This window comes from Homo sapiens, chromosome 7 (assembly GCF_000001405.40).
Source record: "Homo sapiens chromosome 7, GRCh38.p14 Primary Assembly".
Lineage (NCBI taxonomy): Eukaryota > Metazoa > Chordata > Mammalia > Primates > Hominidae > Homo > Homo sapiens.
Window position 1 is genome coordinate 85,892,902 of NC_000007.14, and position 13,812 is coordinate 85,906,713.

The following is a 13,812-nucleotide window of genomic DNA, read 5'->3' on the forward strand; positions in this document are numbered from 1 at the left end:
TGGTCCCTTGACCCATTGCTCCAACTGAGATTACCCATTCTTAATAGCTTTGAGGGATTGAATTATTTCAAGCAAGTGAATCTCCAGGAAATATTCATTTTTCACAGGCATTAATTAGACCTTGAAGCTCATGGAACTGAAGATATTAGTTATTGAACTTACTCACACCAGCTGGGTTGCCCGGCTTGGCCTCTATTACAAATACTTCACTTCTACCTTAAGGCTACTGTGAGTATCACTAGGTACCATTAGTTCAGACGTTTAATTTTCACAAAGCTAATAAAATTGAAATTTTTAAAAACGCATACATATGATGTTATAAAATAGATATCTATAGGACAGTGTCCCAAGTACAGTTAAAAAAAGAAAGAAATCTTATTTTTCTTTTTTTTGAAGTTGAGCTGAACTCTTGAATCCCTAGTTAATTGGGTGCCAAGATATCAAACAATAGGAATGACTGATAAGCATTCAGTGAGCTGTCTTTTCTTGAGAATTTATGTTGGATAAATGATAAGTGAACTTTAAAGCATTAGGTTTTCTGTCTCCTGTTAACCTTTATATCCCTTACACCCACTTCAAAGAAAGCTTCAAGTACAGAGAAGAGATGCAAAGAAAGATTAGAAAATGAGAATTGGAGTATGACTGTTTTTCTGGTAGAATGTTTCAATGGTTTAAAACTGGTCAAACAAATCTATAATGTAGACCTTGTTATCTTGATTCCCAGAGCTACAGGTAAACAAGTAAACTATTTTTCAATAGCATATAAATGCACTTTAGGAAATGTAAGGTAGGCTATAAATACATACATACATGCACACATAATACATACCACATATAAAATAGCAATTTTATTATATGGCAACAATATTTTTTTCTGATGATTACAAATAATGTCAGGAACATGCTCATTATATTTTTGAGAAAATGTTTTCTGGAACATATTCTGCATATTATCATTGTGGATTCATGGTATTGTGATGTGATTTAATATAAGAAGCCATGAAGAGCCATTGCTAGGGTTTTCTGTGGAAAAGAAAGTTTAAAATAATGCCTGAAGAAGCTATGGTGTTGTCTGCACAGAAAAAATTACAAGAATTTACTCTAGAGATTGAAAATGAATTGCCTTGTGATATTTAAATGAATAATAATATATAATGAAGGAGTGTTGCTATTTCATTCAGTCATCTATCACAAAACAATGTATACAATTGTGTAAATGCAGAGAACTGGAAAATATCAGGATGAAAATAAGAGTATCCTCAGTGCTGGAACACACCTTGGTGTTTCCGGAGGAAAAATATGTCAAGTGAAAAGAAGTAGAGGCATGTGCTGAGGTATGTACACATGCTACAAGAGCAGGAATTAAATATCAATTTTTCAGGAAAACTGTCAAAGGGAAAAAGACACCATCTGGTAGGCATTAGTGTCACCAGAACACGGGAGCACTTATCAGATTGGTGCAACAAATTTCTTAAGACCATCAAATTCCCTCTTTTTATTTCAAATTCATTAGTATCTAGAAGCATTGTTTTTGACATTTACTGAAATTCTTTTTGAGAAATTAAAGTTTTTGTAGGAAAATACATTTTGATAAGAACTTGAGCCATAGGTTAGAACACAACAAAGCCGGGCGGGCACGGTGGCTCAGGCCAGTAATCCTAGCAGTTTGGGAGGCCGAGGCGGGCGGATCACAAGGTCAGGAGATCAAGACCATCTTGGCCAACATAGTGAAACCCCGTCTCTACTAAAAATACAAAAATTAGCCGGGTGTGGTGGCGGGAGCCTGTAGTCCCAGCTACTCGGGAGTCTGAGGCAGGAGGAATCCCTTAAACCGGGAGGCGGAGGTTGCAGTGAGCGGAGATCGCAGTGAGCAGAGCCTGGGCAACAGAGCGAGACTCCGTCTCAAAAAAACCAAGAAAAAAAAAAAGAAAAGAAAAGAAAAGAAAAAAACCCAGATGAGGGCCAAAATAAGGAATAGAGAGACAATATAATATTATAAGACAGGAGGACATTGTCTCTCGAATCCCCAGTTAACTGGGGCTTAGTTAGTTGAGAAATCCACACATCTTCCTCATGACCTCCAACACCATTCACTCCTACACATGAGCACGAGACCGCCCCCCACCCGGCTTCCCGTCTCGCACACGCACACAGACCACATTTTCAATAACGGTATCAAGGCCTCTAAATGTTGGAAGTGTTTGTGGAAATGGTGAAGAAGTAGTACTTATTAGAATAGCATAGGTAGAATAAAAGCAATACTCACATATTAAAGAGAGCAGAAAAACCTGTGGAAGTCAGTGAATTAATATGAAAGGAAAAAAAAGAAAAATTATTTTGACAGTCACAAACTTTGTGTTTGGTGGTCTAGCCAGGGTTAACCAGATTAATAAGAGGCAGAAAGTAATCTAGCTGATACGTGGGTTTTGTAAATCAATAAATATGCATGTTTAATGAACATAATAGTTCCTGTCTTCTTGATTTGACAAGCATCATTACCAAAACAATCTCTAGACACACTGACAGAATTTTTGAATCTGCAAATTTTAAGAACCAGCCTTGGGCCCTAGTGAACCAAAGACTTTCCTCCATGTAATATTTGATCTCTTCTTCCTCCTCCTCCTCCTCCTCTTCTTCTTTGTCTTCTTCTTCTTCCTCTTCATGTTTAAAGACAAAATAAATGTTAAACTATTAGTAAGATCCTATTACGGGAATCTAGATGTAAGTCGCTGAGATCCTAAATAAGTTGTTTTCTTCAAGGAACTAATTTTCTATGAACGTGATTCTGAGCTCCACTTGTTTTCATTTTCTCTATCCATGTTTTTATATAATTTTACATGGGAAATGCTTTTGCTCCCTGTGGTGAGACTTCTAAAAATGAAAGCAAAGTACCATCAAAAGAATAATCAAAATATCGATGGGAGATGATTCTATATTAGAGCTAAAGGGAAAAAAAAACATGAAACATTGCTTAGGTTGGAATAAACAAAAAATGACTGGTAGCAATATATGCAAAGGGGTGCTTATTTGTGTTTGAGATGGAGGAGGCAACAGGAGTGTGTATATCGGATGATTTAAAATCAACTAAGTGAAGAGAAACATTGGAAACATGTCACTGAATATGTACATTTGTAGGCTGTATGGGTGAGGTCATATTTCCAACCCAGGAAAAGAAATAATTCCTATGAGCCAGTAAATGTTAAAGAAAAAATTTAGAGGCACAATGACAGAGCTAGAATTGAAGCTTGCCTCAAACCTTTAGGCTGACTTTAAATATGCTTCTTTAAAACAGAAATCATGACATAAAATCATACTTTGTAAATGTACACTAGATGACAAATATAAATGTTACTGAAAAAAAACATGGAATTAAAAACAAAGGAAGAATGGTGGAAGATGTAACAGAAAGTACAAAGGAAGTATTAATAATTCTGAGAATAAATGCAAGAAGAGAAAAGATACCTTTTTAGGAACTGAGGTCAAATAGGTTCACGTTTTTAACATCTGCTAGCATCCAAATGTAACTTTTTTCCTCTAACGTATAATAATAGTTTTTATTAAAAACCGAGTCTAGCACATAGCTAGTAAGTCTTTTATTCCCCCCAAAAAGCCATCTTTAAGTTGGTTTATCCCTAACATTTTTCATACTATAGTTTGTAAGTTTTGTGCTCTGTAATGCAGTATCAGGTTGGAAAATGCTGGGGTCATTATCACTGCTAAAATAATCAGAGGTCTGAAAGGAGAGAAGCCTGTGACTCAGTTTGTATCTATCCACAAAATGTGAAATAAGTTCATTGTCTGGTCTGCCAACATTCAATGCATGGCCTTTGATTGAGCAAGAGAATCAGAAATCCAAATTTAAGCAATTATCCTGGCAAACATAGCTTGACATGGTCATTAGGTTTTATGCTGTTTTAAAGCAAATGTGTTACCAGAAACCCAATTTACTCCTGACAGAATACTATTAGGCAACCAAAGCATAAAGACTGTCAAAGGTTTTCTCCAAGTAAAGCAGGTTGCTGACATAAGGTACTCTGCTCTCAAAAATATATTTATACACTTAACAATTTTTAAAAACCAAGTTTCTTTACTTCCTTATTCATTCTTATAAATATCTCATTCTTTCTAACACTGATATTTAAAAAGAGTGTTTTTTCTGTGTTCACATCTCTACTGCATGGATGGTGGTACCCTAATTTAAATGATGGTGGGACAGCTGGCCCACCAGGTTGGCACTAAAATAAAAAGAGGGAGGGTAACAAAAATGCATGCCCAGTGAGAAATAAGGTTACAAGCAATGAGCTGTGACTAAGAAGAACTTCAGAGCTTGAAAACTCTTCAAATGCCTTCACCCCTTCCTCAACTAAATTCTGACAGGTGAAACTTCTTCAAATATGAATTTGAAAGACATGTCACAACATGACAAATAAATTTCAGCCTGATGAATATGAGTATATTATAATATAATGATGTACCTTTTGACTCTTAAGCAGCTAAAGAGCTGAGATACTGATTTTTTTAAAAAAATCTGAAGTTGACATTTTCTGATTAGCATTTCAAACCTTGTAAGATCACGGAATATTTTTCCTAATTTAGTCCAAGAAATGGTAAATAAGAGTTCTTCAAAGAAAGGTGGTGGAAGTGAAGGAATACAAAGTTCTATGGGAAAAAATGCTCTATGGGAAAAAAAGCATATGACAAAGGGCATAGTATAATGCCACAGGAAATAATGACAAATTCTGTGTTGAAGGCATATAATACATGACTTTTTTCACAGGAAGAGTTTCAGATTAACTTTGGTTCATGTTTTAAAGAATATTTGATAGATTTAGTTATATAGATAGATAAATTAATGCTTTTTTAAATAAATATTCAGTTAGTACATACTATATTCCAGGTACCACCCAGCTTCTGGAAATAGAGCAGTGAAAAAGAGAGATACATTGTATGCTATTAAGGGACTAACATTCTTATGTGGATATTTCACAATAAACAAGTTAAGTTATTCCAGGCAGTGCTACATTTTTAAAAAGAAAGAGAAGCTAGCTCCTATGACAGCAAACAAGTGGAATGGATGTGGGCAACATCAGATAGGAGTTAAAAAAGACCTGTCTGAGGAGATGACATTTGGGTTCACTAAGTGCTGAGAGACACTTCAGGCAGAGGAACAGCATCTGAAAAAAAAGTGAGCTTAAAAAGAAAAAAAAAAAAAAAAAAAGACCAGTCCGGCTAAACCTTGCTGACAGAGAGTGACAAAGAATGGAGTTGCTAAGAGATGGCAGAGAGATAAGCAGAAGCCAGGTCATGGAGAAACTCTCAGGCTAGTAAGAAGACTGGCTTTAATCTTCTGCATAGTGAAAAGTCACTGGAAGAAATGCAGCAGGGGTGTAGTTGACCTGATTTCATATTTTAAAGAGATCAATCCCTGTAGGTTTTAGGGAGACAAAAGTTGCCAATTAAAGGACTTGTGGCTGCAGTGTAGGAAAGAGATAATGATGCCTTGGACTATGTGTCCCATGAAGACAGATAGAGGTGGATAGGTTTGAAATACGTTTTGCAAGTAGTGTTAATAATAATTTTTCAATAACTGAATGTAGGAATTGACGGCATTTTTAAAAATCAAGAATGACTCTTGGCTTTTTATTTGAGCCATTAGATAAATATGGTGCATTTCCTGAGTTGCAAGGGACCCACTTGTCATTTCGTAGGATTTAAATGTATTCTGTCAGCAAAGGGGTATCAACAGAAGTGGTTAAGTAAGGAAGTATCAATCAGATCTAATTTTTATGAATATAACATTGGTAACACTGTAGAGAATGAACTAGACTTAGGGGAAGACTGGTGTCAAGGATAACGTATAGCTTTCTGTTAAAATTTTCCTGGGAGACATGAAAATATCTTTCAGATGTTGCCTGATTTTACATTTCCTAAATAAAGAAGTATTAGTAATTACAGTGATATGTAATGCTTTGGAGACAATTAGCTTTAATTCCCCCAAAATACAAGTGATTCACTTAATTCGGGGCTCTTTAAGTGACCTACTTCTTTATTCTAGTAGGTTCTTTAGTTTTCTAGGCTAGAAAATATGGAGAAATAATATATAAGGTGGGTATTCATAAGAATAAAGTTTTATAGGGTAGATTACACTAGAATCCATTACAAGTCATTATAGAACAGGGCAATATTGACAGGACTTTTTTTTCACAACACGTTTTAAAAATTTCATTTCATTAGTATGATTAGGAGAAAACCATTCCTAAAATAATCTCACTGCTTCTTTTACATATCAGCAAGGAGAATGATTGGCACAAGGTCTTTTCTCACTTTGGGGATAATAACTCATGAAATAAAATTAGCTGCTTGCAATCCATTAAAGGAAAAAAAATGAATAGACTTCATTTTTAAAAAGACGTTTACTCTCTGAATGGCCCTGTAAACAGGAAGAAAATCAAGGAACAGTATGGGAAAAATATTTACAAATCACATATCCAGCGATAGACTTATATCTAGAATATATAAAGAACTCTTAAACCTCAAGAGTAAATACAGAAATTATCAAATCAAACGATGGGAAATATAGAAAAAGACATTTCACTAATGGCAAGTAATTGCATGAAACAGTGTTCAACATCCTTACCTATTAAGAAAATGCTAATTCAAGCCACAATGAAATGTCACTACACATCTGTCAGAATAGCTAACATAAAACATGGAAATAAGATCAAGTCCTTAAGAAGATAAAGAAAAACTGCATCACTCTTACATTACTGGTGGTATGTAAAAAGGATATAGTCTATCTGGAAAACGGTTTGGCATTTTCTTTAAAAAAATGAAATTGAAAATGCTGTAAAAACCAGCATAATCACACTCCTGGGCATTTATTACAGATAAATGAAAACAGGCTCACAAAAATCTGTACATTAATGTTCAAAGCAAATTTACTTGTAATAGCTCCAAAGTGGAAACAACCCAAATAGCCTTCAACAGGTGAAAGTTAAACAAAATGTGATACATACATACTATACTATACTACTCAGCAATAAAAAATCACAATAAATTATTATTAACTATGATCACCATGTTGTATACTAGATATCTTGAACTTAATCCTCCTATATAACTAAAATTTTCTACCACAAAAATGATAATTATGTGAGGTACTGCATATGTTAATTAGCTAAATTTAGTCTTTTCATGACATATACATACTTTCAAACACCATGTTGCTTGTGATAAATATATACAACTTTATGTCAATTAAAAAGATCAAAAATACATTTAAAAAACCAAGAAGTTATTGATACAGCAACAACTTGAATGAATCTCAAGGGAATTATGCTGAATGAAAAAAGACAGTCTCAAAATGTTGTATTCCTGTAATTACATTTATACAACATTCTGAAAACAGCAATAACATAGAGATGGAAAACAGATTAGTGGCACGGGGCAGGGAAGGATGTGGCTGTGGCTATAAGAGTTTGATGTGGTATATGTACACATACGATTATACAATTATATAAAAATAATGTTACAATTGTGAGGAAAACTTTGTGACTGTGATAGTAGTCACAAAAAATCTATACATGAAATAAAATTTTATACAACTAGATACAAACACACAGACACATGAAGGCATGTAAATTTGGCAAAATCTGAATATAGTCAGTCGATCGATGTTCATTTTATGGTAGTGATATTATATTACAGTTATGCAAAATGTGGCAATTGAGAGAAACTTCTTGAGAGGTATACAGCTCTTCTCCATATCATTTCTCACAATTTCATGTACATCTAAAATCATTTCAGAATAATTTCTTTTTTTTAATTTGCTGCTGGCATCCTGAAGAGAAGGTGAAAACAGACTGAATAGCTGCAATGTGAATTATGGCTTTTCATGTGAGAAAAGCCATGAAAAGCTAGCTTCTGATTTTGTAGATCATGTCATTTTAATTACTCTTCTTTATTATCTTAGATTGAGACAGCTTGAGCTGCAAGCAAAAGTGAAGTTAATTCCCTGTGATGTTTATTTGCCTTTAGCAACAGATATTTTACCTTTGCCTTAAATTATAGCCATGGGGGATTTCTGTAAGTGCTGTCATACTGTGGATGATGGACCGTCTGTAACAAAATTACGTGGTGTGCTTAGGAAGCAATGCAGAGCTCCACACTGTACCTCTGAGCTACCCAGATTCTGGGGGCATAGTAAAGATCTCCAAAAAATTATATGAGGTTTCTTTCAAGTGATTTCAGCATTTTAGCAGTAAAAGTAACATCCTATTTAAAGACAGGAAATGTAGCATGCGTAACAGTTGAGTTTTGGCTTTGAAGGCAGGCAAGCAGGCCTGTGTTGGACTTTCTTACCCATCACTTCCTAACAATTGGAATTTTATCAAATTTGCTAACTTTTCCTAATCTCAAGTTCTTCATTTATTAAATACTAGTAACAACGCAGGATTTGGTGAGGACTTAAGTTAAAAATTTAAATTGCTTAGAAAGTTGCCTGAAAAGTACATATTCAATAACACCCATATCCATCTATCTATCTATCTATCTATCTATCTATCTATCTATCAATCATCTATCATCTCTCTCTCTACCTGTCTATCATCTCTAAGTTTCTTTATCTATAATTTTGATATTTAAATGCTTACATAAATCTTCCATTTTAAATTACAAGTATTTTAAGACAAGGACTTAGATTTTTTTTTTATACTGCACCAGGGTCCTAGATGACCTGGTTAATCTAAAGCGTTCTTAATTGACTTCTTCTTTGATAATATAGATACATTTGAAAAAGATGGGTATCTTAGGTAGTTTGTCCAATATTGTTACAAGTAATTAATGTGCTTCAAGAATTATTTCTATCTTATACCTCATATGTAATTTGCAATTCTGGTTTGTAACCAAGGTTTGATATTGACTTAGCTTTCTAGGACACTGAACCCATTTTTTTCCATTTATTTTATTTTTAAATTGTCTCCCAAAGCAACGTAATTATGAATTTAAATATTGGCAACAAACGATTTATTATATTCTAGTGTCTAGTTTATGTACTGTTAAATCTATTATGGAGCCTTCAAATGAAATGAAAATTGATTCATTGTTAAAATAAAGTAAATATTTCTGTTGTTTGTGTTTTCCCATTTGTGAGCTTACAGAAAGTAAAGGATATTAGCTCAGTCAAATGTGAACATATCCCTGCTGGGACTAAAGGGTTCACCTGCTCTGTGCACCTTGGCATAGATACTTGTTGAAAACAAACTTTTATTTTTATTAGTCTCTAAATGATGTATGAAATGAAATATCCTTGCCAACTTCAGATAATGGACTGAGTTTTGCTATGCTCAATTACTTCTTTGAATGTTTGTGTGTTCAATTCTACTTACATTTATTTTTTAACTATAAGTATACCTTTTAATTTATTCAAAAGAATAGTACAATCATGATTTAGATATAATAAATGATTATTGGGAACAATTTTGGAAATTCCATTGTAACATGTTACTACATTCCGCATGTTAATGTGTGAAGAAATATAGTGCTTTCTTCATTTATGTAGTTTACAAATACCTCCAAAAGCACTCAGGACAATTCTTTGCTGGGGAAAGTAAATACGTTTGAATAATTCTGAGCCACATTATCAATATCTGAAAATTCTTGCATTGGACTCATAGTGATCTCAATTGTCCATGTTTAGGATCAATTTTAAGATAATTGAGTTTGAGATCCACAGGTTTCGAAATTCATTTTGCAAGCATAAAATATTTTAAACTATAGAGATTTGTAGGAGAGAAATAAATTTCAAAATTTAGCTTAAAGTGTGAATAATATACCTCTCCCTCATTATATTAAAATGCTAATTTTTTTCAAAAATGATATGATTTATTTCTAACGTATATATATATATATTCAAATATTTCAGAAGTACAAATACATATTCAATGTAATAAAAACTATAGGTAAATATTGAATTAAGAGAGTCTGTTATTGATACAAGTGAGATGCTCAACCATTTCTTATTCTTACTTATACTTGGATATATTTCAATTTTGCTTCCCTATTTACAGAGACTCAACACAGAGTAAAAACTGAGTTAGTACCTACAAGGCATGATTCAGGGAACAATCTTTTATAACAAATTAGTAATTCACAATTTCTACCTCATTTCAGTTAGATGTCAGAGGAAAGTTATTATAATTGGCACTCTAACTTCAGACCTTGATGATTATACAATATTTTATGTTAAATTTTTTTCCTTTTATTGTTAGAGAAACTCTTAACTACAATTGTAATATACTTCTTAGTTTGAACACTGGAGGCCCAATTCCAACTTTTTTGTATAAAACACACCCCTTTTTTACCCCACATAGACAAATTATTCGGTGTGACTTGAAAGAAATATTCTGATGTATATCCATGTCTTAGGTTATCTTTCTCATAGTAAAGTTGGGAGGAGGAGCTTTTATTTAGGAAAGACAGTGTTCTTGGGAAAAACTGTTGTAAGGGAGTGAAGGAAGCAGAACTGGGCAGAAGTTACACTCGAATGCATTTGAAAAAGAGGTCACAGTTCATCTTAGGAGAAGCACTGAAGCTGGGGTGGCTCCTAAAACTTGTCCCAAGTTGAGGCAAGGGGGAAAAATCTTTGTACCCTCACATTGACCAGTTATTGGATGCAGTTTGGCCCTAGATAGAGTGTGAAACTTAGGGTGAAGCAGCTCTCTTTGGCTAAGTGCAATTTTCTGCTATGCTCTGAGCTCTGGGCTATTGGCAACCCAAACCCCTAGAGCTCATGTGCCTCAGTCCTGAAGGGCAAATCTGGGTTGTGTACCACAGTCCACCCAGCATGCTGCCCATGTTCACTTGTTTCATATGGTAAATTCATAGGATCTGGGAAAAACAGCTCATTCAGAATTCTCATTAATCTCTTTTCCTGAGAAACATCTGAAGAAGATTAGTTTCAGGCCTACACTATAGCTGTTCTCAGGATCACAGTGAATATTCATCACCTCCTTCTTCTGTAAATCATTCTAGGCTCCTTCCACTCTTGGTTAGCACATCTGCTGTCTAGGTAGCTTAATGTGTGGAGTAATCTAGACTTTCATCCCTGAGGAGGTCAGACCCCGGTCACCATATCCTACTATATTTGTCTTTTTATCTTCAAAATTGGGTGAAAACTTACCAAGAGATATCCAAATAGATGATCTGGGTATAAAACTCATTCTTCTGTGTTCTAATTTTATTACCTCAGTCCTGCCTCTTCCTAATGTTGAGTTCATTATCCCTTTCACAATGGTGACTCCTTGCTTTCTTGTTAGTCTTACTGCCTGAGGAACCCAGTGTAACACTAGCTTAAAGCTTAATGGGGCTTTTACTATACTCTTTGATATGGCTCTGTGTCCCCACCCAAATCTGATCTCGAATGGTAATCCCCTCGTGTTCAGGGAGGGACCTGGTGGGAGGTGATTGGCTCATGGGGACGCTTTCTCCCATGTTGTTCTCATGATATTGAGTGCTCACAAAATCTGGTGGTTTAAAGATGGCAGTTTCCCCTTCTCTCTCTTTCTCCTGCAGCCTTGTGAAGAAGGCGCTTGCTTCTCCTTCACCTCTCGCCATGATTGTAAGTTTCCTGAGGCTTTCCCAGCCATGTGGATATGTGAACCAATTAAAACTCTTTGATTTATAAATTACCCAGTCTCAGATAGTATCTTTATAGCAGTGTGAAAATGGACTAATACACTCTTCAACAGAGTTATGTTTACTCTGGGAGCCAGAGTAAACCCATAGAGTCCAGAGTCACAAATTATTCAAGTAAGTCAGTGGGTAAGATAGTAACTAGGGCCATTCCTATATTCTCTGGTTCCTGGACCCATATATTCTAATATTCTACCCATATATATTTATATGTGTGTATATACACACACACACACACACATCACACATATACATAAGTCAATTAATGTTATGTGATTCTGTATCCACAGTGGGAAGACTATTAGAATATATGATGTATACATATATATATTTATGTGTGTGTGTATATATATGTGTGTGTATATATATATATGTACACACACATATATGTGTGTGTATGTATATATATATACATACACACACGGGAGTCAGTTTGCCATTCCTTCCACAATCCCGCAGGGTACATTTAGCAATGTCTGGGAATGTTTTTGGTTTTCACAATTGGGTTAGGGTGACCCTGAAATCTAGTGAGCAGATTTTGTGATCTAGTAATTCTAATAAATATACTATAAAACACTGTAAAACCCACTAACACATAAAAATTATCTGATCCAAAATTTCCGTAGTACAGAGGTCAGAAAGCCTTACATTAGCTCATCAGGCTACAGGCTTCTGGCCATTATGATATGACTACCAGATCCGATGGTCATGTGCCAGCTGTAATTTTTCTTCTGCCATGAAGTGTTTGTTTGGTCTTGCTGGACATCATACCATATAATGATGTCCCCTTCAGACTGAGACACTCTAGTTCAGGGGGTTTGGGTTGCCAATACATCACAGCTGAGATACAACATTTTATAAGAGCTTAGATTATGGTTCTGCTATGACAGTATTAATAGGAAAAGCTAACCCATATCTGGAATATGTATCGTGTTTATCCCAGTTAATGATAATTACAGTTGGCCATTGAACAACACAGGTTTGAACTGCATGAGTCCATTTATACACTAATTTTCTTTGCCCTCTGCCACCTCCCACCACTGAGACAGCAAGATCCACCCTTCCTCTTGCTCTTTCTCTCCATCCTACTCATTGTGAATATAAGAATAAAGACCCTTTAAGATTATCCACTTCCACTTAATGAAAAGTAAATACATATTCTCTTCCCTATAATTTTCTTAATAACATTTTCTTTTCTCTAGTTTACTTTATTGTAAGAATACAGTATATAATACATATAACATACACAATATATGTTAATCAATGTTCATGTAATCAGTTAAGGCTTCCAGTCAACAGTAAGCTATTAGTGGTTACATTTTTGGGGAATCAAAAGATGTATGTGGATTTTTAACTAAGTAGGAGCTTCAATACCCCTAACCCCCACATTCTTCATAGGTCAACTGCACTGCTTTTTCAGGGTATAAAGTATCTGATGTAATGAACTAACCATTAAATGATAAGTTGGCCTCCTCAAAAAATGATGTCCAGTTAGGAAATCAGTATTGATTTATGTTTCTGCAAGTTTTGACATTTGACAATAACGACAGCTAAATTCATCTTGGAAAACAGAAGGCTAAGCTGTTTCAATATGCATAGGCTCCACCCCTGGCAATCATGGCAATTTTATTCATACTCTGACAGTTGATGAAAGAGGCAGATTGAAATCAGTTGGATGGGTTATTGTATCTGTATGGCTCTTTAATTCTTCTGCCATGTTAAATAGTTATTGGTGTGTTAACATGTGAATCAAAGATCATCATACTTTGTGCCCACTCACGTATGAACAACTGAATAACTCTTCCTCACACCTCTTTATCCTTCACCATCCTATCGTTCCCCTTCAAAGATAATATGCAGCTATCCAGGCCATTTATCATTCCCTGCTATTTCATGTATATAATTAGTGTGAGGTGCTTCTATTTAGCAAAACATAATGGCTAGGTACAACACCTAAAGCTCAGCATAGTGGGAGGATTTTGCTTCAGCCCCACTTTTCAGAGCCACCCCTGAGTGTGAAATGAAGTAGCAATACATTTTTTATTTGCACCAGTACACCAAGGCACTTCATCCATGAGCAGCATTTAGACATTTTCCTCATCCATAATAATGTGTAAGAGA